At 62.1% G+C, this 26,407-nt stretch overlaps 1 protein-coding gene across 2 annotated transcripts in view, besides 1 other annotated feature; it reads left to right on the top strand.

Annotated features, from left to right (window-relative positions):
• Positions 1-26,407, top strand: part of SLC9A3 (solute carrier family 9 member A3) — a 53,994-nt gene that overhangs the window by 15,772 nt on the left and 11,815 nt on the right. For both annotated transcript variants that reach the window (NM_001284351.3, NM_004174.4), the window contains exons 2-7: positions 16,607-16,909; positions 20,202-20,362; positions 23,447-23,525; positions 23,981-24,158; positions 25,196-25,416; positions 25,928-26,130. In NM_001284351.3, coding sequence (NP_001271280.1) covers positions 16,607-16,909; positions 20,202-20,362; positions 23,447-23,525; positions 23,981-24,158; positions 25,196-25,416; positions 25,928-26,130 — 1,145 coding nt within the window. The remainder of the gene's footprint in view (positions 1-16,606; positions 16,910-20,201; positions 20,363-23,446; positions 23,526-23,980; positions 24,159-25,195; positions 25,417-25,927; positions 26,131-26,407) is intronic.
• Positions 12,213-12,736: an enhancer, noted in NCBI's record as "H3K27ac-H3K4me1 hESC enhancer chr5:496057-496580 (GRCh37/hg19 assembly coordinates)". NCBI's record gives its function as "activates a minimal SCP1, AML or CMV promoter by ChIP-STARR-seq in naive H9 embryonic stem cells {active_cell/tissue: H9 hESC(naive)}" and the evidence as "EXISTENCE:reporter gene assay evidence [ECO:0000049][PMID:30033119]".

Here is a 26,407-nt window from a genome sequence, read left to right as displayed (position 1 = left end):
GGCATCTCCATCCCGGGCGCGCTATGGGCTGTGTCTCCCCGCGGCATCTCCATCCCAGGCGCGCTATGGGCTGCGTCTCCCTGCGGCATCTCCATCCCCGGGCGCGCTGAGGCCTGAGTTTCCCTGCGGCATCTCCATCCCGGGCACACTATGGGCTGTGTCTCCCTGCGGCATCTCCATCCCGGGCACACTATGGGCTGTGTCTCCCTGCGGCATCTCCATCCCAGGCGCGCTATGGGCTGCGTCTCCCTGCGGCATCTCCATCCCCGGGCGCGCTGAGGCCTGAGTTTCCCTGCGGCATCTCCATCCCCGGGCGCGCTGAGGCCTGCGTCTCCCTGCGGCATCTCTATCCCCGGCAGACTGTGGGCTGCGTCTCCCTGCGGCATCTCCATCCCGGGCACACTATGGGCTGCGTCTCTCTGCGGCATCTCCATCCCTGGCGCGCTGAGGACTGCGTCTGCCTGCGGCTACTCCATCCTGAGGCCTGCGTCTCCCTGCGGCATCTCCATCCCGGGCGCGCTCTGGGCTGCTTGTGATTCCATAGCTGGGCTCCGCGCCTGAGCACTGGTCACCCCTTCCCCTGGCTCCACTGGTGTGAGGGGCGGGCGCCAAGAAGCCGAATGGGAACTGGAGCCACATGGGTGTGGGTGGGCATTTGGGTGTAGCGGGGAGATTCAGGCGTCTGTGGGGTGGAGATTCGGGCGTCTGTGGGGTGGGGATTCGGGCGTCTGTGGGGTGGAGATTCGGGCGTCTGTGGGGTGGGGATTCGGGCGTCTGTGGGGTGAGGATTCGGGCGTCTGTGGGGTGGAGATTCGGGCGTCTGTGGGGTGGGGATTTGGGCGTCTGTGGGGTGAGGATTCGGGCGTCTGTGGGGTGGGGATTCGGGCGTCTGTGGGGTGGGGATTCGGGCGTCTGTGGGGTGGGGATTCGGGCGTCTGTGGGGTGGGGATTCGGGCGTCTGCGGGGTGGAGATTCGGGCGTCTGCGGGGTGGGGATTCGGGCGTCTGTGGGGATTCGGGTGTCGACTGTGGGGTGGGGATTCGGGCGTCTGTGGGGCAGGGATTGGGGTGTTGGGGGTTGAGGATGGGGTGCCAGTGTCTTTGGATCCCCCCAGAATGGGCGCGGTGGCTCACACCTGTAATCCCAGCACTTTGGGAAGCCGCGGCTGGAGGATCACATGAGCCCAAGAGTTTTAGACCAGCATGGGCAACATGGTGAAAAAAATCTCTACAAAAAATAGTAAAATTAGCCAGGCCTGGTGGTGCTCGCCTGGGCAACAGAGCTAGACACTATTTAAGAAAAAAAAAACGGTGAAACCCCGTCTCTACTAAAAATACAAAAAATTAGCTGGGCGTGGTGGCGGGCGCCTGTAGTCCCAGCTACTCGGGAGGCTGAGGCAGGAGAATGGCGTGAACCCGGGAGCGGAGCTTGCAGTGAGCCCAGATCGCGCCACCGCACTCCAGCCTGGGCAACAGAGCCAGACTCCGTCTCAAAAAAAAAAAAAAAAAAAAGAAGCAGCAGCCGGATCCCTCCTTCTTACCTGACCCAATAACTTTATTTATTTATTTATTTATTTATTTATTTATTTATTTATTTATTTTTTGAGACAGTATCACTCTGTCTCCCAGGCTGGAGTGCAGTGGCCCAATCTCGATCTCGGCTCACCACAATCTCCACCTCCCGGGTTCAAGCGATTCTCCTGCCTCAGCCTCCCGAGTAGCTGGGACTACAGGTGTCTGCCACCACTCCTGGCTAATTTTTGTATTTTGTATTTTTTTTTTGTTTTGTTTCTCCATATTGGCCAGGCTGGTCTCGATCTCATGACCTTGTGATCCACCCACCTTGGCCTCCCAAAGTGCTGAGATTACAGGCGTGAGCCACCGCGCCCGGCCCCCAATAACTTTAAAACAAGGATAATAAATAACACGTTTTATCCTTCGTTTTCCTTGGGTTTGAGAACAAAGTCAACCCACTCTCTCTGAAGGAGTCTGATTTTCAGTCTTTACAACTGCCCAGAAAAGTCGAGATTATCATAGGAAACCAGCTCTGCACGGGTTAAAACAGCCTGCTGGGAAGTGGCCAGACAGGTCCCTGGGAGCAGCGCCCAGAAGGTGGGGAACCTGTGGGGTCTGGCTCTGGTTTGCTGCTGTCCCAGCTCTGGAGTGGTGCCCCGCTTGGCAGGGTGGCCCCACAGGACAGGGAGCAGCATGGGGCCCCTCGGGAGGACCCCGGGCCCTCCTGCATTTGGGGCAAATGATGGAGACACGGGGCACACCTCGCGTGAGAATGCGCCCTGTGCGGGCTGCCCTGGCCCTGCCGCGCACCCCAGCACCCTCTCCGCAGCCCGGGTTCCGCGCGTCTCCAGCCCCCGTCTCGGGCCCCTTTCGTGTGTCTTTCCACCTTTGTCCTCTCTGGGTGGCATCAATATCAAGAATCAATCCTCCCAACCGCTTCCGGCTGCTGCGTCCGGGCAAAGCTCGTGACAAAGTCCTGGCTTCGCGGGCAGGACCCAGAGCTCCTTGATAGTGGCGGCTGTGGCCACGTGAGCAGGCACAGGTGCAGTTAACAGGCTTGGGAAGCTGCCCTCACCGTCTACCTGCACAAAAGAATTCCCGGAGAGCACAGCCTCACTGGAGATCCTCTCCTGAGGGATAAAGGTCAGCGAGACCTGAAGTTGCTCCCCTGCAGGGCATTTGCAAACTCCTCAAAGCCTTTCAGAGGCTCCACCTGCACCCCAACCCTAACCCCACCCCAAAGTGAGGGGGCCTCATGCCTTTGCCTCAGTGGTTCACATTAATTTCATCTCCGTGGTAGTCACTCCCCTCCCAACATGGCCACTTTCCCCACCCCCACAATGGTCACTCTCCCCCCACATGGTCACTCCCCACCCACCCCCCACAGCCACTCTCCCCACCTTGGTCACTCCCCACCCCCCCACAGTCACTCTCCCCTCTCCGTGGTCACTCTCCACCCCACCCCCCAGTCACTCTCCCCCCGTGGTCACTCCCCACCCCCCCACAGTCACTCTCCCCTCTGTGGTCACTCTCCACCCCCCACAGTCACTCTCCCCCTTCCATGGTCACTCCCCACCCCCCCACAGTCACTCTCACCTCCGTGGTCACTCCCCACCCCACCCCCCCAGTCACTCTCCCCCCGTGGTCACTCCCCACCCCCCCACAGTCACTCTCCCCTCTGTGGTCACTCTCCACCCCCCAACAGTCACTCTCCCCCTTCCATGGTCACTCCCCACCCTCCTACAGTCACTCTTCACCCCGCGGTCACTCCCCACCCCCCAACAGTCACTCTCCCCCTTCCATGGTCACTCCCCACCCCCCTACAGTCACTCTCCCCTCTCCGTGGTCACTCCCCACCCTCCTACAGTCACTCTTCACCCCGTGGTCACTCCCCACCCCCCCACAGTCACTCTCCCCCCCCCATGGTCACTCTCCCCCACCCCCCTCGATGGTCACCCCCCAGCACACATCCAGATGCTCCTCCCACAGCAGCCTCCCTCCCTTAAGAGCCTCTGAAGCTAAAAATGGAGGAGGATGCTGTTTCTCATTTGTCCAGGTCTCCAGCCACCCGGGATTCCATCCCCTCATTCTGTTAAAGGGGTCACTGCGTCCACGCTGTTCTGAGGCCTTTTCCCATTTGCACAGGGAAAGCAGGGGAGGGGTGGCAGCTGCTGGCCCCTGCTTCTCAGCACTGGGCTCTGTGTGGCGCCCACGTGGCCACTGTGCCCTGCAGGCGTCTGCTGCTCTTCCAGGCACAGGCGTCCGGGTCTGGGAGCCACTTTGCTAGCCGAGGTGTGAGCCCCCGCTGTATGCCACTCAACCAGCCGCACCCCTGCCCTCCCCTTCTGAGCCTCTGGCCCGGCCCCCATGAAGGGGCCATGTCGGTGGCCGGCCAGGAGCTGGGCACGAACACCCCTTCCCCTTCAGCCCCCACGTTTAGAGACAGTGGCCTCACAGCGCTGAGGGGTGCAGGTCCCGGTGCCCATGGCCCCAGAGGGAGGCACTGCCCAGCAGCTGAGGGTTTGTCTGCTGTCCCCACCCCGAGCCCTCTGGGCTCACCCGGGGGTGACAGGAGGAGGCAGCGGGGCCGTGAGCCCGGGGAGCCTGAGATCTGGCCGCTTGCTGTGTGGTCTGAAGGTCCCGGCACCCTCCCTGGCTGCCGCCGCCGGACACACTGGAGGAGGCTGTGGAGTTCTCTCCCGAGGGCCAAATCCAACGGCCCCTGCAGCGGCTCAAGGTTCAGCCAGTCCTGGACCCTGCATGTCCACCGCCCTGGGCCCTGGCTGCAGCCCCGGGGGGCTATTTCCTCACTTTACAGAGGGGAGCCTGAAGCAAGGAGGGCAGGTCACACCTCCTGGGTGGGTCACGGGACGCGGGGGCTGCAAGAACACGGGGAGACGTGTGCCCCTTGGGTTCCCGGGGGTTCCGGAGCTGGCGGCAGCCCCACAGCGATGCCTTCCGGCACCTTCCCTCCCCAGGCGCCTCATATAGGACGCTGTCTCCTTGCTGGAAGCTTCTGCAGAAGCTTGTTCCCTTCCCTTGTTTAGTTGTTGATAAACCAAAGGCAAAAACACGGGGAATGCTAAACTTCCGTGATTGATGAAGACGGTTTCATAATTTCTACTTTGAAGTGAATGATTTTATAAGGGCAAGAGAGAAGAGAGGGTGAAGTGTGAGGAAGGTGGGGGTGGGTGGGACCCTGAGAATCCAGGCACCGGGTGAAGATGGGAACCCCCCAAGAGCTCTGGGGGCCCAGTCTTCTGTCCAGAGGCCCCAGCCTCGCGCAGACGATTCGCCGATTCAGGAGAAACCACAGCCGTGGATGAGATTTCCAGCAGACACGCCTTCCTTGCCCATTTCATGGAACAAGAAGAAAGTTCTTTATTGGTAACTCACACACATTATACAGATGGAAAGATTCTCCATTTGTTTTTGATTTTCAGCAGTCTGACTGTGCCGTGCCCACAGGCAGGATTTTCCCTGTACTTGCATTGCTTGGAGCTTGCAAAATTTCTCAAATCTATAAATGTGTGTCTTTCACCAAACTGGGGACATTTTTTACCATTCGCTCTTCAAGGTTTCCCCGCCCCATTCTCCCTTCCTTCCAGAGCTCCAGCTACACATATATCAGGCCTTTTTCTGGGCAAGGATGGGGGCCTCGCTCACTGTCACCCAGACTGGGGTGCAGCCTCAACCCGCCCAGGCTCAATGGACCCTCTGGCCTCAGCCCCCTGAGTAGCTGGGACTATGGGCACAAACCACCAGGCTCAGCTAATGTTTTAATTTATTTTGTCGAGAAGGGGTTTTGCTGTGTTGCCCAGGCTGGTCTTGAACTCCTGGGTTCAAGCGATCCTCCTGCCTTGGCCTCCCAAAGTGCTGCGGCTACAAGCTATTGATTTTGCCCCACAGGCCACTGAGGCTCTGGTTACTTTAAAAACCATTTTTTCTCCTTGGTCTTCCGATGGGATGATTTCTTCTGATCTGTCTTCCAGTTCACTCTCTTTACTGTCATTTCTGTCTGCTCGTAAGTCTATCCATTGAGTTTTTATGTCAGAGATTCTAGGGTTTCTGCTTGGTTCTCTTTGATAAGTTCTATTTTAGGCATCAGCAAACTACAGCCCGTGGGCCGGCCACTGGTTGTTGTAAATAAAGTTTCACTGGAACGCCCATCTGTGTCGTTACAGCGGCTTTCGGCCTCAGTGGTAGTGAGTGGTAAAGTTTCACTGGAACACAGCGCCCATCTGTGTCGTTACGGCGGCTTTCGGCCTCACTGGTAGTGAGTGGTAAAGTTTCACTGGAACACAGCGCCCATCTGTGTCATTACGGCGGCTTTCGGCGCCCGTCTGTGTCGTTACAGCGGCTTTCGGCCTCACTGGTAGTGAGTGGTTATGAAGTGATCCTCCTGTTGGCAGCTTGCAGGACCTAAAATACTCACAATCTGCCTTTAAGAAAAAATGTGCCAAGCCCTGTTCCACTCCACCGCTGCGGCTTGTCCTTTTTAAGTGGTTATGAGAACGTTTCTTTTCTATCCTTGAGCTGCTGTTTTAGGCCCTTGTCTGCTGATTCCAGGGTCTGACCATCTTGCGTTCTCCTCTGATTTGAGCTGGGCCACATTCCCACTTCACGTGTCTCGTGACTTCCGTTGCCCCAGGACGTTGCGACCGGTGTCTTGCCGGGGACTGTGCTCCGCTGCGGCCCCTGGTAGGCGCCGCTGGGTCTGCGGTAGCTGAAGCTTGTTGCTGCTTTGAGCAAAGCCCTGAGGTGGTGGCAGCTGGGATCTGCATCCAGGTCTTTCCTCTGCTGTGGGCAGCTTGGGACCTGCCTGTGTCTGTCTGTTCTCACGCTGCTAATAAGGGGGCCTGGGCCGTCTCTGGGGGTGGGGGGCCGGAGCGGCTGGGTCCCAGAGAGGAAGGGGTGTGGGGTCTGCCCAGCGTCCTGGACAGAGGCCGTGGCTGGCTCAGAGGCTGCGTTCATTTTGCCCCAGCGCGGTTGCTCAGGGTGGTTTGGAGTCGAAGGATCTCCTGATTCTCTAGGGAACCGTGGGCAACATTCATGTTTCAATTTAAAAACCGACCAGGTTTGCTCGAGTGTTGTAAATGTACAATGTGTAAAACGCCTTGTGACTTGAGCGCAGGGAGTCCAGTCCTGAACGGGCTGTTGTTCTTGGAGCTGTGTGAACTTCATCTGGCAGGAAGCAGCTTCCCGGCCCGGGGGCCCGGCCTCGCTCGGAGAGGGGCTTCCTGCGTGGCCCCCGGGAGCCGGCTCCCCTGTCCCACGCCAACCTGAGTACTCACGGGGAACTGCACCCGCAGGCAGGGACGCGTGGGGTCACGCAGGCACGTCTGCCAGGCCGCACGGCGGACCTCCGTGAGCACCTTTACCTCCGCCCTGGGCTTGACGGCCGACACATTTACCGTGATTCCTCGCCGGTGCCCCACAGGCGGGTAAAGTGATACTGAGGTCAGAGTGTGCTGGCGAGCTCTGCTGGACCTGCAGGGGCGGGTGGCAGAGAACTCAGACCCACAGCTGTGCTAGGAGAACAGGGTGGACCCTGTGCGTGTCTCCTCTGTGTGTCTCTGCACGTCTCTGCGTCTCTGCGAGTCTCTGTGTGCGTGCACGTGTTCCTGCATGTGTCTGCGCCTGCCTGTGGAATGCCCCGGCCCCTCGTCCCCCGGGAGGGTGGGTACCTGTGCTTCCGCCCTCCTTCCTGGCCTCACCGCCCCACCGCTCAGCCAGGCTGTTTCTGGGAGGCAGAGTTTAATCCTCCGGGACGTGTTCCTGTTAAAGTAAAACCACAGGATTGACTGCGCTGTTGCATTTTTGTGGACTCGGCTGAATCTCTGCCACCTTGAAAGGTCCTTGGAGGTGGCGGAGGCCCTGGGCCTGACCAAGCCCCGTCCCTCTGTGCTCCGAGGGGTGTGACATGCATTGGGCCGTGGCCTTCCTGAGCCCCCCGGGGCCCAGAGAGAAGCCCTTTCCGGCGCCCATCCGGAAATGTCTGGTTTGCCAGCGCCGGCCCTTCCTCCTCCAGGCACAGGGTTTGTAATTAGAACTAAAAGCGTCTGTCCCCTGTCGTAACCATCAGGCCACCAAGCCATTGTGTGCTTAATTAGCTGTGACTCTCCAGCCTCGGCAATCAGTTACCTGAGGGCCTGCGTGTCCCCAGGTTTGTCCCCTTGTGTGGAAGCCACACGGGCTGTGGCAGGCGGACTCAGGGCCTGGCCCTGTCCACACCGGCCCGTGTCCACACCAGCCTCGTCCACACCGACCCCATGTCCACACTGACTCTGTGTCCACACTGGCCCCATCCACACCAGCCCCGTCCACACCCACCAGCCCCATCCACGCCTGCCCCATCCACACCAGCCCCTTCCACACTGACCCCATGTCCACACTGGCCCTGTGTCCACACTGACCCCGTCCACACCAGCCCCGTCCACACCCACCAGCCCCATCCACACTGGCCCCATCCACACGGCCCCATCCACACCAGCCCCATCCATACTAGCCCCATGTCCACACCAGCCCCATCCACGCCTGCCCCATCCACACCGGCCCCTTCCACACTGACCCCATGTCCACACCGGCCCTGTGTCCACACTGACCCATCCACACCAGCCCCTCCCACACCAGCCCCGTCCACACTGGCCCCATCTACACTGGCCCCGTGTCCACACCGGCCCCCTGTCCACACCGGCCCGCCTGGCCTCTCCGTGCTTGGTGTGTGTTTCCTGTGTCCCTGGAGGGTCCCGTCCCCGTCTCCTGCCACCCCCCCTTCCATTCTCGCCAGGGATCCACGCCAGTCGCATGCCGTGTGTGCACCTAGCTGGGGGAGCCTCGTGGCGTGTCCCAGTGGTGCCGGAAGCCGGTTCCGTCTGTGGAGCTTCTCGTGGTTTGGCTTCTGCAGTTGTGTGGCTGAGCCCAGGCTCTGCATAGTGCGTCTCGGGAGGGTCCCACACCGCCTGGTTCCCTCACAGTGTGTGCCATGGGGCGAGTTCTATTCTCTTCATTTCCTTAAGGCCTCAGACACCCTCTGCCCTTTCAACCCACAGGGCCGGGGTTGCCGCAGTCAGTGCGGTGGACCTGAGGCTCTTCTGGTAGAAGGTTGAAGATGTCGCTGCCTGTTGCGTCCCAGCCACCCTGCAGCTCCTGCCCAACAGCTCTGGGCCGAGGAGGCTGTGCCCTGCGCCTGTGGTGGCTCCGACGGGGCCCAGGGCTGTGGGTTCCTTCTTCTTTGAGGTGCAGTGGCCCCTCCACACTCCCATGGTATCTCTGTAGCCATGCTGGCTTGAGCAGTGGCCCCTACAGAGGGGCTGGACCCTGGACTGGGAGTGGCTGGGCCTTCTGCTGATCTACGGAGACGTTATGCGCAGATGCAAGGTCTCTAGGAGCCACCTTGGCATTATCTCGGGCCCTGCCAGCCACCTCCCTCCCGTTCTAGAGCCTCGAGGGCCCACGTGTCCCCAGGGAGCAGGAGTGACTGGTTGTCAGACCAGAGGGAGCTGCAGACGGCATCAGGCACTGGGCGGTGTCTGGAGATGGCGGACAGAGGGCACAGGAAGGAAGGACGGCCCAGCATGTGGGGACGTTTCCACACAGGGACCCTGGAACCCAAGTGTCGTCATCCCATCCTAAAAACGTGCAGATTGTGGCAGTAAGTAAGCGCCTTGCCTGGAATGAGTCTGTGGAACAGGCCCTAACCACAGGCCCAGGCCTGGTTGGTGCCGGCAGATGCCCCCAGAAAGCGGGGTGGCCCCGGCTGTGTGCATGTGGACAGCACTGCCCGGGTCAGGCCCTCATGCCAGGCCAGTCCCTGGCACTCAATACCGACTGGCAGCAGGAACTGGACCCTGCAGGGCTCACAGCACAGGGACTTGGCTCCCAAACGTCCATTGTGTGCTTAATTGCCAAACTACTAGCAAATTGCCTCTTAAAACCAATTGAGTTCTTGGTTTCACCAGCTAATTACAATGCAGACTGCCGTTCAAGAGGAGGCCATGGGTCCTTGGGAAAAGCCGTGTGGAGCAGACCAGCCCCAGGCTGAGGACGCCCTCTGAGGACTTCCATCAACCGCAGAGCCCCTGGTTTCAGGAGAAGATGAGAACGAGACCCTTCCCCTCTCTTGGTCCCCAGTCCAGTGTCCCAAACCAGGGAGATGCAGGGTCACCAAGGAGAGGCCTGGCCTTGGCACCTCCTCAGGAGGAAGAAGCAGAAGCCCAGGAGACCCCCCACCCTGGCTGGGGCGAAACTGCCATCCGATACCAGAGGAGACGCTGCAGGACTCCTCTGCCACAGGAGAATGGGTAGAAAGCAGTGTCCCACCCAAAGCCAGCTCAGCAGGGAGACACACCCCAGGAGAGGCAGCCGAGGCCAGCAGGGGCACTCTTCCCAAAGCGGGGTTGTGCAGAGAATGTCCACAGAACCTTCCACGGCGGGCACAAGCAAGGGGAGAAGACACGGTTGGCCAGGCACGGTGGCTCACGCCTGTGATCCCAGCACTGTGGACGACCGAGGTGGGCGTGTCGCTTGACCCCAGGAGTTTAAGACCAGCCTGGCCAGCATGGTGAAACTCCATCTCTACAAAAAATACAAAAATTTGCTGGGCATGGTGGCGCACGCCTGTAATCCCAGCTACTCAGAGGCTGAGGCAGGAGAATCGCTTGAACCCAGGAGGCGGAGGTTGCAGTGAGCCGAGGTGGTGCCGCTGCACTCCAGTCCAGGTGACAGAACGAGATGATGTCTCAAAAGAAAAGGGCTCAGTGGCTGGACTGATGCTGGAAGGCAGGAAGTGGGGCTGGCGGGGAAGAGCCCAGCCCGGGACAAGTGTGACAAGAAGCAGAAGGAGTCCCGCCCGTACCTCACACCACGGAAATGGCCGGAATGTGAGTCACGGAAGCAGCAGCTCCAGGGTGGGAAGTGGAACGGGGGCGTTCATCGTGAGGACGTTCACAGAGAAGACACGGTTGGCAGCACCCCTCAGCGTCGGACCGAGACGTGGCCCCGAAGTAGCAGGGGCGGAAGTGGCGGCCGAGGCTCAAGCCACTGTCAGAGCGAAAGGTCCGAGAGACGTCCAGGAGTGCGGAGAAAAAAGATAAGATAGAGCGACCAGAGGCAAAACAGCATCCTTGAAGAGGAGGGCGGTGGCCGAGGCAGGAGGCCGGCATCCGTGAGGCAGGGACTCCCACAAGCGAGGCTAAGGCTTCATAGCTGACCAGCAGGTGCCTGAGTTGTCGGAGGGCAGAGGCTGGGGATGCGGCCGGGCGACCCCACCCGGGACAGGGGCAGAGGCTGGGGATGCGGCCGGGCGACCCCACCCGGGACAGGGGCAGAGGCTGGGGATGCGGCCGGGCGACCCCACCCGGGACAGGGGCAGAGGCTGGGGATGCGGCCGGGCGACCCCACCCGGGACAGGGGCAGAGGCTGGGGATGCGGCCGGGCGACCCCACCCAGGACAGGGGCAGATGAGGCTTCACTCCCAGGGGTCAGGGTCAGCGGCTCAGGGGGGCTGCAGGGGATCTGGAAGCTTCAGGAAGCTTCTTTGAAGTGGAGGAATAACCAAAGAATAGAACAATTGTGTTAAGAGATATCCTTGTTTCCTGGTTGGAAACAATTTATTCTGACAACCAGACAGAGATAAACGTGAACGAGTGGCTCCGACAGGTGAACTAAGCAAAGTCCGGCTGACTGTGTCCTTCACAGCAGTCCCGGTGCCCAGACAGGCTCAGACACAGGTGTCAGCCTGACATTCGCAAATGCTCGAGGGTGGACGCCAGCTGTCAAGGGAAGAACCCGGATTTGAGACCCGGGAGCAGAGAAACCAGGTTTCGAGGGCAGTGGGGGGCGTCGACTCCTGCACCTGGAGGGAATTCGGCCAGTGCACCGTGTCGCCCGAGGCAGAGCAGTGGTGTGACTTGAGGGGCACCTGCGGGGCAGCGGCCTGGGCACCGGGAGCACCCACCAGTGCCACCCAGATCCACTTCCAGGCTCGGGGATTTCAAGAACAGACATCTGTGTGGAAAGACTGTCTCTCTGAGGCTAGCAGGGCCTTCTGAGTTGCAACTATTTTTAACTATTTTCTCTGTTAAATTCAAGTAAAAAAAAAATTTTTTTTTTGAGACAAGGCCTCCGTCGCCCAGGCTGGAATGTAGTGGTGTGATCTTGGCTCACTGCAGCCTCAACCTCCCAGGCTCAGGTGATCCTCCCACCTCGGCCTCCTGAGTAGCTGGGACTACAGTTGTGTGCCACCATGCCCAGCAGAGTTTTTGTATTTTTTTTTGTAAAGATGGGGTTTCGCCATGTTGCCCAGGCTGGTCTCGAACTCCTGGGCTCAAGGGATCCACCTGCCTTGGCCTCCCAAACTGTTGTATTGGGATTACAGGTGTGAACCACTAAGTCCAGCCTTCAAGGAAAATTTAATTGAGTGCCTTTATTTTTCCTGCTAAAAAATTTAGCAGGAAACATGAGCAGGAATGGCTTTGTTAAGTATAACACAAAACTCAGAAGCCATAAAACAAAAGACCAATAAATTTAACTATAAAAAGAAAAGACGTTCGCATGGAGCAAAATGACAGAAGACAAAGTGGAAAGATGAGAGCAACATTTTTGAAAGTGAAAATCTACCTGCCGCTGAAGACATAAGCAAAGGCTGGATTTTCCAGCTTACGAAGAACCTCGTGTCAATAGGAAAGGATCAGTGCCCGGCAGGGGAGCAAGCCGACACTTTCACAGAACGGGGTCGTTCACGCGTCACCCACAGGTCGTCAGAGGCTGTTAGGTTGGGCCCCTCAGGAGATGTGGCTCACGCCTGCCTGGCCGGTGGGGATGGGTGCGGCTCCTCCCCCGTGGGCAGGTGGGACGGCATGTCCCATGCAGGAGGACACAGGTGAGCTCTCAACACACACACACCCTGAAGACTGCAGGAGCTGCCCTCGGACGCCACCGCACATGGGAAAGGCGTGTCCAACACCCTTTCCAACCCCGGATGGCAGAATGTTCCAAACCGCCGCCCTCCCACCTATGCGGCGTTTGTGCGTATATATGTATATTTTCTCAGTAACTACCAAGGTCAGAGGATGTTTTCTGTGGATTTTAAGGGCTTACTTCTGAGCAGGAGTGTTTGGTCTGAAGCCAGCCTGTCCCTCACCCACCAGTGTCCCAGTTAACAGGCTTTTACAGTAACCAGCGGCCTCACTGGAGCGTGGGGAGGGTCGGCGATGGCGCGGGGAGTGGAGCGTGGGGAGGGTCGGCGATGGCGCGGGGAGTGGAGCGTGGGGAGGGTCGGCGATGGCGCGGGGAGTGGAGCGTGGGGAGGGTCGGCGATGGCGCGGGGAGTGGAGCGTGGGGAGGGTCGGCGATGGCGCGGGGAGTGGAGCGTGGGGAGGGTCGGCGATGGCGCGGGGAGTGGAGCGTGGGGAGGGTCGGCGATGGCGCGGGGAGTGGAGCGTGGGGAGGGTCGGCGATGGCGCGGGGAGTGGAGCGTGGGGAGGGTCGGCGATGGCGCGGGGAGTGGAGCGTGGGGAGGGTCGGCGATGGCGCGGGGAGTGGAGCGTGGGGAGGGTCGGCGATGGCGCGGGGAGTGGAGCGTGGGGAGGGTCGGCGATGGCGCGGGGAGTGGAGCGTGGGGAGGGTCGGCGATGGCGCGGGGAGTGGAGCGTGGGGAGGGTCGGCGATGGCGCGGGGAGTGGAGCGTGGGGAGGGTCGGCGATGGCGCGGGGAGTGGAGCGTGGGGAGGGTCGGCGATGGCGCGGGGAGTGGAGCGTGGGGAGGGTCGGCGATGGCGCGGGGAGCACTGTGAGTCCCCAGGGCACAGAGTTGCGTTGTTGTTTTTAAAGACAAAGCTGGTCCCTGTGTCCCTGTGTCCCTGACTTGCTGGCCCGCGGTTGTCTGGGGTGGCTTCACAACGGTGGTGATCGCTGTGAACCTAATTTTGGAAGACTGTGGCTGAAAGACCCTAACCCTCAACAAAAAGACCCCGGGCCAAGTGTCGGCAGCCACCAAGGGTGAGGGCGTCCAGGAGCTCCGAGACTCCCGCTGCTTCCCAGGTCTGACCTGCGGCCACGGCGCCCCCCCACCTGGGGACACGCGGTCTCTGTGGTCGCTGGATTTTATCCTCAAAGCAGCCCACGTGCCGGCGGGCACCGAGGGGCCACACGTGCCCCGCTGGCTGCTCCACAAGCGCTATTGGACAAATACCATCTCCCAGGTCTTGTGACCCTGAAAAGAGGAGGACAGGTGAGCCGATTACCCCTCCAGGAGCCAGCCTGGGACGTGGGCAGAGGCAAAGAACGTGCATCGTGTAGAAAACAGCGGCCTGGGTGGGTCTTGCCAGCGGCTGGGCAGCCTCCAGGGGGTCACCATCACCACGGCTGTGCCCGGCTTTGCTAGGCACTCGTCGCCAGCAGCAGAGGTGACGACGTCGCCAAGGACAGATGTGAGAGGCGCGGGTCAGCCTGCGGGTGGGCAGGCGCCGGCACCGGGCACAGACCACCCTGGTCTTCCTAACACAGCTTGGGACACCAAGGCGGGGATTTACAGCCCTCAGGAAGAAAGGAAGGAAGTGGTAAACTCCACTTCTCTCTGGACATTATTAAAAAAATCAGGAGGCTGCAGAGGTGGGAACACCTGCCCCAGGCCTTCCTGCACCATAGGGACCCCCAGCAGGACTCCCAAAGGCCTCGGAGCCCTTAGTGTGCAGACTCCCATGCCAGCCTAGAACCTGCTGAGTCCCGGCTGTGGAGGGGGTCCCAGGCTGCCCTGAGCAGAGGCCACAGCCTTCCCCTCGCAGGCCCGGAAGGCCACCCATGTCTCTTCCCAAAGCTCTGCGAGGCCAGGTCTGTCCCTGGCCACCACAGGGACCAGGCCGTGGAGCCCAGAGAAGAGGGGCCCCTGTTTTCCTGCTGGGCTGCCAGCCCCGTGAGCCCAGATCTGGGGAGGGCGCTGCTGAGGACGGGGCTGTCGGGGCACGCGTTAGGGTCCCAGGACTTCTCACGTGCATCACAGCCACTCCCAGCTGGGGAGCACCTTCTAGAGAAGGGAGAGCTGTGGGGAGAGAGCAAGGTCAACCCTACGGATGCTCTCCTGCTGAAAGCTGGAGCAGACGGGACCCTGCAGGCCAGCTCTGAGCGGGGCCCCGAGGACTCCAGGGAGCTCACCCTCCGTGTTCCCCAGGGACAGCCTCCCTCCCTCATTCCAGGCCAGGCCCTCCCTCATTGCAGGCCATGCCCTCCCCTGGTTTGGTTATCACTGTCGCGTGGTTCCAGCCTCCCCGGGCCAACCCCCGCTGCCCTGCCTGACAGGTGTGGAGCTCAGATCTGTGCAGGATGTGCAGCCCGGAGTGGGGGAGCCGTCGGGGGGCTCAGAGAGCCTGTGGGGCACATGGTGGGGACGGGGCCCACAGCAGGACCTCCCATCCTGAAAGCAGGAGCCTCTGAACCCCGATCCCTCCCGGGGCTGGTGTTTTGGAATCTGGAGCAGCAGGCAGAGCCGCTGTCCTGGGGACAGGGTCGGGAGACCGCAGTGCAGTGCTGGTGGCCGGGCAGGTGCGGAGCTTGTGCCTGCCACCCTCCCTAGAGGGGCCCATGCCACCCGTGGTATTTGGTGTAAGACCATCCTCGGGGAAGGAACGGCAAATCCAGAACAGCACCTCCCTCCTCTGGGCCAGCACCCGGCCCTGCAAGAGCTCCGTAATTACAAGGGAGAAAACAGGCAGGGAGGGCCGAGCTCGTCAGGGCCACGCAGTCGGGAAGGGTGGGACGTGGCCACTGCCTCCACCGCCCCTCCAGCTGTGCTGACACATTCTTCGGGGGCGGGTGGTGTGGAGGGAGCCTCCCCGCTCCCGCTGCTCTGTGCTTAAATGGGGTCTTGGCCATCTCAGGAGACAACTTTCCTTTGAATTTCAAAGAAGACTTAATAACCAGCAGCTGAGGGAATGAAGAAGCTCATTATCCCTTACATCACCGAAGCCGGAGGACGCACCTCATTTGTCAGGCTTCCCGCTATTTTGAAATCAGGCCGAGCGCAGGAATTCTCATCACCTTTTTTTTTTTTTCTGAGTCCAACTAAAACACAGGAGACATGGCCCAGATAGGTTGGTGCCTGCACCCCCACCCACAGGGCCGGGCAGAGCCTCTGAGGTCCTGGCAGGGGCGATGGTGCTGGGGGACGGGGTGAAGCTCCACGGGGGGTCCCCAGGACCTGCTGTCCACCCTTAAGCTCACCCGTGCGGAGTGGAGTGGCGGGACCCAGAGACTCTTCCTAGAACACCCCACCCAGGGGCCGTGATCCCAGGAGAGGGGCACGAGGAGAGGGGGCCACAGCCTCCATGGGGCCCCTCCGGAGGGGTCTGAAACACAGCCAGCCTCAAGTGGGAGCAGGCTCTGGCCACAACGTCAGGGACAGGGTGAGCTCAGACCTTGGTCACCAAGGCAAAAGGCACAGAGCGAGTTGGGGGTCCGGGGGACCAGAACCAGCCGGGCGGTGGGGCGGCAGGTCAGAGGCCCCCCCCCGACCACCGTCCATCCAGCACGGGCCTCCACCCCATAGCACCGGCTCCCTCCTCCAACTGACTCCCTTCTGGGGGCTCCAGCAGCTGCCCCTGCACTCTCCTCGTTCCCAGCCCTCTTGGGCTCCCTGAAAAGTCGGGGGAGGTCTTAGATGCCTGCAGCTCTGAGCCCTGTGGGACCTGATCACCTGGACCTCCCTCCCCTCCCCCGAGGGCTCTGCCCTGACCTCCCTCCCCTCCCCCGCAGGTCCCACCCCGACCTCCCTCCCCTCCCCTGTGGGTTCCCCCCTACCTCCCTCCCCTCCCCCATGGGCTCCCCCCACCTACCTGCCCTCTCCCAAGGCCCCACCCTGACCTCCCTCCTCTGCCGCACGGGTCCCACCCCGACCTCCCTCCCCTCCCCTGTGAGTCCCCACACCTTCCTCCCTTCCTCCACGAGTCCCCGCTGACCTCCCTCCCCAACAGGCCCTGCCCCGACATCCCTCCCCTCCCCCACGAGTCCCCACACCTCCCTCCCCTCCCTCACAGCCCGGCCCTGACCTCCCTCCCCTCCCTCACAGCCCGGCCCTGACCTCCCTCCCTTCCCCCACAGGGTTCCACCTGTCCCACAAGGTCACCAGCGTGGTTCCCGAGAGCGCCCTGCTCATCGTGCTGGGCCTGGTGCTGGGCGGCATCGTCTGGGCGGCCGACCACATCGCGTCCTTCACACTGACGCCCACCGTCTTCTTCTTCTACCTGCTGCCCCCCATCGTGCTGGACGCCGGCTACTTCATGCCCAACCGCCTCTTCTTCGGCAACCTGGGGACCATCCTGTTGTACGCCGTCGTGGGTACCGTGTGGAACGCGGCCACCACCGGGCTGTCCCTCTACGGCGTCTTCCTCAGTGGGCTCATGGGTGAGTCTGCGCCACTGTTGCCCCGGCCGGGATCAGGGTGGGGTCCGGGAGGGGCGGCGCTGCCTCATCTCAGAAAGGTCGGGGTGCCGCACCCTGGCCTCCAGGCGGTAAGTGTCAGGTGAGAAACGTGGCTGGCAGCCCCGTAGGCCCTCGTGACCAAGGCCAGTCCCCTGCGCGTCCCCAGGTCCCAGCACGTGTTCTGCTTGGGGAGGAGTTCCCATCTCGGCAGCTCGGCTTGGGGGCTGCAGGTGGCCAGGGGCTGCCGCTCTTCCTCCGGCACTGGGCAGAGGTAGGGGTCCGTCCACACTCGCCGGCCACCAGGTCCCAGGGAGAGGAGGAGGACTGCAGAGCCTGGTGTATCGGGCACCGTCCCTCCCAGCCTGTGTGCCGGAGCCGCTCGGCCACCGCTGCAGCCACAGCCGGAGCCAGAACTGCTGCGCGGTTTTGGTCTTGGATGCTTCATCTCTCGGGCACTGCCTCCCGCCCCGGACCCAGACCACGCGTGGCTGGCGCCTCTCAACATGCCAGGTGCGGTGCAGCCCTGATGCCCGCCGCTGCTGCCGGGGATGCTACAGCTTTGACCAGGTGGGTCCAGGGACCTCAGGCAGAGCCTAGCTTTGACCAGCTGGGCCCCACGGCTGAGCGCAGGCCTCCGGCACCTGCCGCCCTCACCGGTCTGAGAACTCAGCCTCAAACAAATCCACCAGCTGAACCAGACTCACAAGAATTGGCGATTTTCCGTCTGGTTCAAGAGAGAGCACGGCCCGGCCTCTCCATGGGAATCAAGGGGCTGAAACCTGAGACCAAGGAGACGCATGGAGAAAGAGGAGCTCCCGGGTTGGGGCCGCCTCACCCAGCACGTGGTTCCTTGGCGCCTTCTCACCCCTCCCTGTAGTCCCTGCCGTCCAGCATCACCCACCAGGTGCAGCCCAGGGAAAGCTGCCGAGGGCACAGACAGGCTCATGGATGGCAGGCCCGTCACGTGGGCGATGCCATAGGTGGTCAGGACACACCTCGGATGGGGCAGCCGCCCTAGCCACCGCACCCAAGGGAAAGCCTCAGGGGTTGTAGCAGAGACTCCTGGACCCGCGGCCCCTCGAGGCTCACACCTACCTTGCCAGATGGCCCCTCGCCCATGAGATCCCAGCTTCCTCCCAGCTGTGTCGAGTGTGGGATGGAGTAGCCTGTGATCAGTCTGGCCGTCAGGGCCGCTCCTTTGAGAGCCGGGCACACTCCGTGGCTCTGTGGCCACGTCACAATGGTCCCCGCCTAGCATTGGCCAGAGACACTGCCGGATTTCCCTTGCACGAAGCAGAATGTCCTCGGTGCAACTGGCCGAGCCTGGAGGACGTCCTTGCTGCACCTGCACCATGAAGCCCTGGAGGACTCCCCACACCAGGACGTCACCCCTGGCCCTCCCCTGCCCCTCGCCACGCTGCACTCCACCCCTGCCCCTCGCCACGCTGGACTCTACCGTCCTCCAACAACGCTCCTCATGAGAAACACGTGTCCCAGGTATCGCTGTGCCCCCTGGGGCAGGCCGCTCCCCAGGTGACACGGATGCTGGAGGCCTGCGCTCAGCCTTGGGGCCCAGCTGGTCAAAGCTGGGTGCTGCCTGAGGTTCTGGAACAGAGATGCCCATGGCCGGCAGGTCCATCCCATTCCTGGGAGTCCAAGAGAGCTGGGAGGCTGCAACTGATCTCTGCAGACCAGAGGCCAAGCCCTGTGGAGCGTCTCAAGGCCAAACGTGCCCCATGGGAAAGGGTCGACATGGCAGTGCTGGCCCGGGGGCTGTCCGGGCAGTGTGGGGACAGGCCCTGCGAGAGCTTCAGGCATCAGAGGCCCTTGCACAGGCAAAGCACGTGGTGGAGAAAGGCCTGGAACATGCGGTCTGGTGGCATGAGCCCTCCTGGCACGGCCGTGGGCAACTGTCCAGACGGGAAGGCTGCCGGCCGGGGAGTCTGAACGCGGCCGACCCCAGGACATCCATGGGGGCCATCACTGCCCTGGGGGCGGCCGTGCCAGGAGGCCGCGTTTAAAGATGACCTTGAAGGGGATTCGTGTCCTGAGGCCTGAGTTTGGAAGAGGAGAAGGCTTGTGTGGTTCCCGTTCCAACATGGAACTTTAACTCCCTGAACGCTGGTTCTTCTGGCATCTGTCACTTCCTCGGGGTGTTGTGACACTGGCCAGAGGCTGCTGGGGCTTAGGAGCTCACAGCAAACTCGGGGTTTAGTCACCGCAGAGATGACCCTGATCTGTCCCCTCCCAGGCGCCAGCACAGAAACCCCTGGCCAGGCTGCTCTCTGCTGTCTCCTGGGGCCCGTCCGGCTCCAGGGACAAACCCCTCCTCAGCCCGAGCCTCAGCCCAGAGGGGTGGTGGGCTCCGCTCCAGCCCAGCAGAGAGGCAGCAGCTGTGCGGGGGGACTCGTCGGGGGCCTCCCCCTCCCTGGGTGGTCTCTCCCACACCCTCACGGCCCTGGCGTCTCCTGGTCCCTGGACCCTCACGGCCGGGAAGGCAGCAAGGAGGCCCAGTGTCCTCTGAGCCCTGCGGCCGTGAGAGAGGGCAGACTCTCGGGGCCACGTGGCCACACTCAGTTCCCTGAGGGTCCCCTGGAGCCTGGCACCCCCACGTGGCCTCCTCGAGGCCTGAACCCTGGGTTGAATGGCAAAGACTTGTGAAGGATAAGGCTGCATTTCAGTAAAACCTCCCCAGCGAGGGGCACCAGAGCCCACAGGCAGATGCGGGGAGGGAAGCCGGCCGGGAGCTAGGGACCACATGGACCCACGTCTTCCGGGCCCCCTTGCTCCCACCGCAGCCCTGCTCATCCCCACAATCTGCCCCCACACCCCCAACGGCCCTCCCACCTGCCCCTCCCTGGCCGCGCCCCTGGGTGCTGTGTGTCCCGGCTCCGGGCCCGTCCTGGGTCAGCCCCACTTGCTTCTCCTGGGCTGGGACGCCACTCCAGGCGATGGGCCCCCATCCCTCCCCAGCATGCGGTGCCCCTGCACCCACCTGCCTCCGTTCACCCAAAGATGAAGGAGAGGGCCAGGGCCAGGGTCAGTCTGTCTGTCTGTCTTGCTCAGATGGGGTGGCCCCCTCGGAAGACAGCAGCCTTCCCTGGAGGGGGCTGGGGGTCTGTGGGAGGGACGCAGGAAGCTGACCCAGCTCCCCACGCCACCGGCGCCAGCCAGACGGGCTCCGAACCCCGACCCGTAGGCGAGCGCCTCCCCAGGGCCCTCCTCCTCGGGTGGCAGGCCCTGCAGCTGCCCCGCGGCCCGGCTTGTCTTCCAGGCGACCTGCAGATTGGGCTGCTGGACTTCCTCCTGTTTGGCAGCCTCATGGCGGCTGTGGACCCGGTGGCCGTCCTGGCCGTGTTTGAGGAGGTCCATGTCAACGAGGTCCTGTTCATCATCGTCTTCGGGGAGTCGCTGCTGAACGACGCAGTCACCGTGGTGAGCAACGGAGCCACCGCTCCAGAGCGGGCGAGCCGTGGGAGGCCTGGGCCCCGTCTCACCCCCCATCGGTCAGTCAGCAAAGGAGGGCGTGAAACCCTGTCCTCAAACTCCCCTCCCGGGGGCGTCCCGTCCCTCCACCTCCTTCCTCCCAGCTCAGAACGACTGGCAGCTTTCGCGAGGCTTCTTTGTATCTTCCACAGTTCCCAGGCCCTGCCCGCCCACTCCATAGCTTCAGGGTTAATGATGGCGCTGTTGAAATCCCGCCCTCCTGGTCCCCAGAGCGTCTGTGACTTTGGACCCACAGTTACTGCCACCCATTCCTGAGTTCCTAAAAAATACATGAGTGGCCGGGTGCGGTGGCTCACGCCTGTAATCCCAGCACTTTGGGAGGCCGAGGCAGGTGGATCACCTGAGGTCAGCAGTTCGAGACCAGCCTGGCCAACATGGTGAAACCCCGTCTCTACTAAAAATACAAAAATTAGCCAGGGGTGGTGGCACGCGCCTGTAATCCCAGCTACTGGGGAGGCTGAGACAGGAGAATCACCTGAAACCAGGAGGCAGAGGTTGCAATGAGCCGAGATCGTGCCATCGCACTCCAGCCTGGGTGACAGAGTGAGACTCCATCTCAAATAAAATAAATACGTGAATAGCAAACAACAAAATCCCATAGGAACCACGTAATCTGCCAGGGCCGCCATGACAAAGTACCGCAGGTGCAGTGCCTTGAACGACGGTGGGTGTCAGTGTGGTGGGTGTCAGTGTGGTGGGTGTCAGTGCGGTGGGTGTCAGTGCGGTCTGGATCACGGTGTCAGTGTGGTGGGTGTCAGTGCGGTGGGTGTCAGTGTGGTGGGTGTCAGTGCGGTCTGGATCACGGTGTCAGTGTGGTGGGTGTCAGTGCGGTGGGTGTCAGTGTGGTGGGTGTCAGTGCGGTCTGGATCACGGTGTCAGTGTGGTGGGTGTCAGTGCGGTGGGTGTCAGTGTGGTGGGTGTCAGTGCGGTCTGGATCACGGTGTCAGTGTGGTGGGTGTCAGTGCGGTGGGTGTCAGTGTGGTGGGTGTCAGTGCGGTCTGGATCACGGTGTCAGTGTGGTGGGTGTCAGTGCGGTGGGTGTCAGTGTGGTGGGTGTCAGTGCGGTCTGGATCACGGTGTCAGTGTGGTGGGTGTCAGTGCGGTGGGTGTCAGTGTGGTGGGTGTCAGTGCGGTCTGGATCACGGTGTCAGTGTGGTGGGTGTCAGTGCGGTGGGTGTCAGTGTGGTGGGTGTCAGTGCGGTGGGTGTCAGTGTGGTGGGTGTCAGTGCGGTCTGGATCACGGTGTCAGTGCGGTGGGTGTCAGTGCGGTCTGGATCACGGTGTCAGTGTGGTGGGTGTCAGTGCGGTGGGTGTCAGTGTGGTGGGTGTCAGTGCGGTCTGGATCACGGTGTCAGTGCGGTGGGTGTCAGTGCGGTCTGGATCACGGTGTCAGTGTGGTGGGCTCCTGCGGGACCCCGGTCCTGGACTTGCAGACGGTGCCTTCCCGTGTCCTCACGTGGCCGTCCCTGCGTGAATGTGCCCGAGTCGCCTCCTCTCACAGGGACACGGGTCCTATTGGATCAGGGTCCACCCCGGTGACCTGACTGTGCCATACTCCCCTTTTTCACGCTCACATGCCCAGGTCCTGGGGACTTTAACATGGGAATTTCGGGGGCACAATTTGGCCCATGACAGAGGTGAAGGGAGGGAAACTGAACTGGTGCTAACGGCAGAGCCCGGACGGTGTGTGGGTGTCCCTGGAGGAGATGGTGTTCCGGGAGGCGGGGACGGTGCCTCCACAGAGGCCCAAAGGCCACATCAGCGCTCAGTAAGGCCAGGAGAAGATTCAGGAACCCCAAGGAACATGGTTACTACTTCACAGTGACAATCGTGACGTTTCAAAGCCAATCCCATCAAATGGGGCCACTGCCTCCCGGAAGTGAGTCATGGGGCCATCCGAGGGGCACGTGCAGAGTGGCCCTCCTAGGAACCGTCAGTGAGGCCAGCCCTGGGCCCGGCCCCGACACCATCCCAGCCCCCACACTGCCCCCGCCCCGTGCTGCCCCTGCCCATCCTCCCCCAGCCCCGAGGACCCTGCAGACGCAGCCGGAGGGAAGGGTGGGGTCAGCTTCCTCTCCCCTCTGAAAGTGCCTGTGGTTTGAAAGGTTTGAAACCCGTCAGCCTCTCATGTTCCCTTAGGGGTTTTGGAAAGAGGAAAGTCCTGTGGGTGTCGCACACCAGACGGCAAGATATTCTCGGGGGAATTTGGGAAGTGAGACTTAATCGGGAATAGAGTGACAGCCCCGTGTGCCCCGCAGCCCTGCGGCTCCCGTCCCTGGAGAAGCAAGAGTCTCCCAAGAGGTTGTCTTCCCTCCCAGCTGGATTTTCATTAAAAAGCCCAGCTCCGAGAAGGCCCCAAGAGACCCCGGGACCCTCATGGGCCCCCCACCCCAGCCTGCATTTGCAAACCCAACTTACACGCCTGCCCCAGGGTCCTCTCCCACCTTGGCCAGAGCCAGAGACACAGAGCTGGGTGCAGAGCCAGGTTCTCCCCAGGGGCCTCGGCCCACCCAGGACGGCCCTCGGCCGGTCTCACCTGCGTCACCACTTTGCTGGGCGTGGAGCCCAGGGCGTGGATAAGGTTTCCCCGCATTTTATCTCTGGGTTTTGCCGGGCTAAGGTTTAAAAACATGCAAAGACGGCAGGGGCTAGAGCCAGCACAGCAGGGAAGTCACTCAAACTGACACCCTGGGTTTGTCTCCGTAGATGAGACTCAGAATTCAAGTGGCAGGGAGCTTTGCAGCTGCCCCTGTTTTGCAGAGGATAGGAAGAGGCCAGCTTTGCTCCCAAAGCTTCTGGTCCCCTCCAGAACATTCTTTTGCCCCATGTCTTGCTGGCTGCTGGGCTCTGGGCTTCTCCCCTTTGGGGGCCATTGCCCTGTGATGATTTTCCTTCCAACGGCCTCGGGTGCCATGGGCTCCACACTCGGGCCAAGTCCAGCGAGGCCCGGGCCCCGGAGAGGGGGTGGCACTAACCAAGGACCACCCAACGCCCTGCCCGTTTTCCCTGCAGGTTCTGTACAATGTGTTTGAATCTTTCGTGGCGCTGGGAGGTGACAACGTGACTGGCGTGGACTGCGTGAAGGGCATAGGTGTGTAGCTGTGGGTCAGGGGGAGTGGGCGGCCGTGTCTCCTCTGGGGCCAACTGTCTTCTCTGGCCTGCAGCCCATGCAGGAAAAAGCTTTGCACTCAAAGCTGCTACACTGGGCCCTTCTGTCCACGTCACGTCCCCGTCCAGAGCGATTCACACACGATTTGACATGGTCCTGGGGGTTCCTGGGTGTTTCCCAGAACAGGGATGAGGGCAGCCAGGTCTTCCTGAGACAGACGGCCGGATAGGGCCTGGGGCCAGGCTCCCAGGGGCACGGGAGGGTCCTCCCCACTTGCTGAACCAAGGCTGGTGCTGAGACCAGGCCCGATCTCCAAGAGAGTGAGGGATCCACCCCCGTTTCCCGGGCTCCCGGCACTTCCGCGGGGTCACCAGGCGGCCCCTGGCAAGGAAGGGCCCGGAAGGCCGGCACGGCCACAAAGGGCGTCCTCTACCCAGTGTCCTTCTTCGTGGTGAGCCTGGGGGGCACGCTGGTGGGGGTGGTCTTCGCCTTCCTGCTGTCGCTGGTGACGCGCTTCACCAAGCATGTGCGTATCATCGAGCCCGGCTTCGTGTTCATCATCTCCTACCTGTCCTACCTGACGTCCGAGATGCTGTCGCTGTCGGCCATCCTCGCGTGAGTCCCTCCCACACACGCGAGCTTCTCCACGCCCTCCTCCCGAGCTTCTCCACACCCTCCTGGGTCCGGCAGGGCGAGCCAGCCAGGGGGACCCCAACCCGAGCTTCTCCACACCCTCCTGGGTCCGGCGGGGCGAGCCAGCCAGGGGGACCCCAACCCGAGCTTCTCCACACCCTCCTGGGTCCGGCGGGGCGAGCCAGCCAGGGGGACCCCAACCCGAGCTTCTCCACACCCTCCTGGGTCCGGCGGGGCGAGCCAGCCAGGGGGACCCCAACCCGAGCTTCTCCACACCCTCCTGGGTCCGGCGGGGCGAGCCAGCCAGGGGGACCCCAACCCGAGCTTCTCCACACCCTCCTGGGTCCGGCGGGGCGAGCCAGCCAGGGGGACCCCAACCCGAGCTTCTCCACACCCTCCTGGGTCCGGCGGGGTGAGCCAGCCAGGGGGACCCCAACTCGGAGGGAGGTGCCAGCCGCATGGACACCGGGGGTGTGTGTGGCAGAAGCTCCGGGCTCTGCATCACCAAGTTCCCCGTGAACCCCCGTGAGGGGAAGTACAGGAAGTGGAGGGCCTCCCCTGCCCTCTGTCCTAGCGCGGGACCTTCAGAGCAGTGTCCCGTCACCTCGCCCGCTCCGCTGGCGCTCCCAGGCTGGGTGGGAATTCAGTGTGGGGCAAAGAATTTATTTAAATTTTAAAATAAGGAGTTGGCGTTTCCACTGAATTGTCTGTGGGCCGACAGCAGTGCCCACCCTGAGACAGGTCAGGTGGGGAGGGACTTTGGAACCCTTTGTTGCCCTCCCTGCTGGCAGGCAGCCCCGGTGCCCATTATCTGCATGACGGTGATGCCGCCTGTGGCCCCCGCAGGGCTGTGGGCAGGAACCCTGGCGGCCCAGCCTGGCTCGGGAGGAAGAGGCCCCCGTAACCACACAACTGTGACTCTGGGCCTACAGGCGCCAGGCCGTGGGGGGCTGGGCGGACACGGGGGCCTCGGGCGCCAGGCCAGGTGGCCGTGTCCTGAGGCGCGTCTGTCCCTGCAGCATCACCTTCTGTGGCATCTGCTGTCAGAAGTATGTGAAGGCCAACATCTCGGAGCAGTCGGCCACCACCGTGCGCTACACCATGAAGATGCTGGCCAGCAGCGCCGAGACCATCATCTTCATGTTCCTGGGTATCTCGGCCGTGAACCCGTTCATCTGGACCTGGAACACGGCCTTCGTGCTCCTGACGCTGGTCTTCATCTCCGTGTACCGGGCCATCGGTGAGGCGGGGCCGGGTTGCGGCCGTGGGACCACCGATGGGCCGGCACCGTCTCCGGGAAGGCGCAGGCTTTCTACTGGGCCCAGGGAGATGGAGGTGCAGCCCCGTGCAAGGCAGAGGAGAGGACCTGATGGTGGCGGCCTCGGGGCTGGGGTGGGAGGCTCTGGAACCCCAAGGGAAACCACTTGGTTTCCCACTGACTCCACTGGATGTGCCTCAAGACAGGGTCAGTGGCACGAGAGATGGAACGGGAAGCAAGACAGCCCCGCCCCCGCCCAGCCCCATCCCCCAGCACCCGTGTGTGTGATGCACGGAGCGTGGGGGGGAGACGCCAGGCCGCGTGTGGCTCCGGGTGGATGGTGACGAGGGACGTGGCGTGGGGACGCCGTATCTAGGGTGCCGCTGTTCTTCGTCAGCACATGCTTGGCCGCCAAGACGCTGTCCCGGAGGGGCTGGGGTCCCGCGGCTGGGAGGGCGGCCGGGGAGCTGAGTGCCCGCCCCATCATCCGCAGGTGTGGTCCTGCAGACCTGGCTTCTGAACCGCTACCGCATGGTGCAGCTGGAGCCCATTGACCAGGTGGTCCTGTCCTACGGGGGCCTGCGCGGGGCCGTGGCCTTTGCCCTGGTGGTGCTTCTGGATGGAGACAAGGTCAAGGAGAAGAACCTGTTCGTCAGCACCACCATCATCGTAGTGTTCTTCACCGTCATCTTCCAGGTGAGGCCCAGCCCAGCCAGCCCTGGGGTCTCGGCCCCGCCCGCGAGGGGAGCCTGGGCCCGCACTTCAGGACAAGCATTTCCAGGCTCCAGACCCTAATTGGGTTTCATAATTTTAGTAACTAGGAGCCGTTTTGTAGGTTTTCACGTGGCCCCACTGGGGAGGAAGCATAATTGTCCTAAAAATGTTCTTCCCGGGCCTTCGCTGGTGGATGAGGCCCCGGGTGCTGCTTCCTCCTCTGCAAAGCAGGGGCGCGGGTTGCTGGGTGCCCGGAGAG

This window comes from Homo sapiens, chromosome 5, assembly GCF_000001405.40.
Source record: "Homo sapiens chromosome 5, GRCh38.p14 Primary Assembly".
NCBI lineage: Eukaryota > Metazoa > Chordata > Mammalia > Primates > Hominidae > Homo > Homo sapiens.
The sequence above is the reverse complement of the archived record's forward strand: the minus strand, read 5'-3'. Positions and strand labels throughout refer to the sequence as shown.